General features: G+C 41.3%; 1 annotated feature.

The window, feature by feature from the left end:
• Positions 242-442: a silencer, noted in NCBI's record as "peak3091 fragment used in MPRA reporter construct". NCBI's record gives its function as "represses an SCP1 promoter by STARR-seq MPRAs in K562 erythroleukemia cells {active_cell/tissue: K562}" and the evidence as "EXISTENCE:reporter gene assay evidence [ECO:0000049][PMID:32103011]".

Here is a 642-nt window from a genome sequence, read left to right as displayed (position 1 = left end):
GCTCTGCTCACCCTCCAGCTGAAATTCTCATCAAAAAGAACGTTTATGCTGTGTACTTTCTCCCAAATGTGGCTTTACTAATTCAGTCATGTGGATCAGGGTATTCTTAGATCAATGAAGAGTAAATATGAGAACACTATCTTGAAAAGAACTCCAGCAGCATTGAACTGAGGTGTGGATGTGGGAGGTTTCCAAAATAAATTTGGCATAAAGAATGCTGTATAAGCTGTTGCCAGGGCTTAGAATGCAGTGACTAAAGACAGTTGTGCATGCCTGGCAAAACCTTTGGCCTGTGTGTTCAGTGATGACAAATAAGGTGGTGACTTTAAGAATTCTGGAGGTCAAGTGGAAAAAAATGATGTCTGATTTCCTTACATATGCAAAAATATATACTTTCAGAGTCCATCAGTAAGCTGAAGTGGATAATTGAAAAACTTTTTTTTTTTTTTTTTTAAGACAGGCTCTCGCTTTGTCACCCAGGGGCTGGAGTGCAGTGGCATGATCTTGGCTCCTGGCAACCTCCACCTCCTGAGTTCAAGTGATTTTCCCTCCTCAGCCTCTCAAGTAGCTGGGACTACAGGCATGCACCACCACACCCAGCTAATTTTTCTAGTTTTTCTATTTGTTGTAGTGATAGGTTTC

Source organism: Homo sapiens, chromosome 18, assembly GCF_000001405.40.
Source record: "Homo sapiens chromosome 18, GRCh38.p14 Primary Assembly".
NCBI classification, from domain to species: Eukaryota; Metazoa; Chordata; class Mammalia; order Primates; family Hominidae; genus Homo; species Homo sapiens.
Note: the sequence above shows the minus strand (reverse complement) of the source record. Positions and strands in the feature narration are given on the sequence as shown.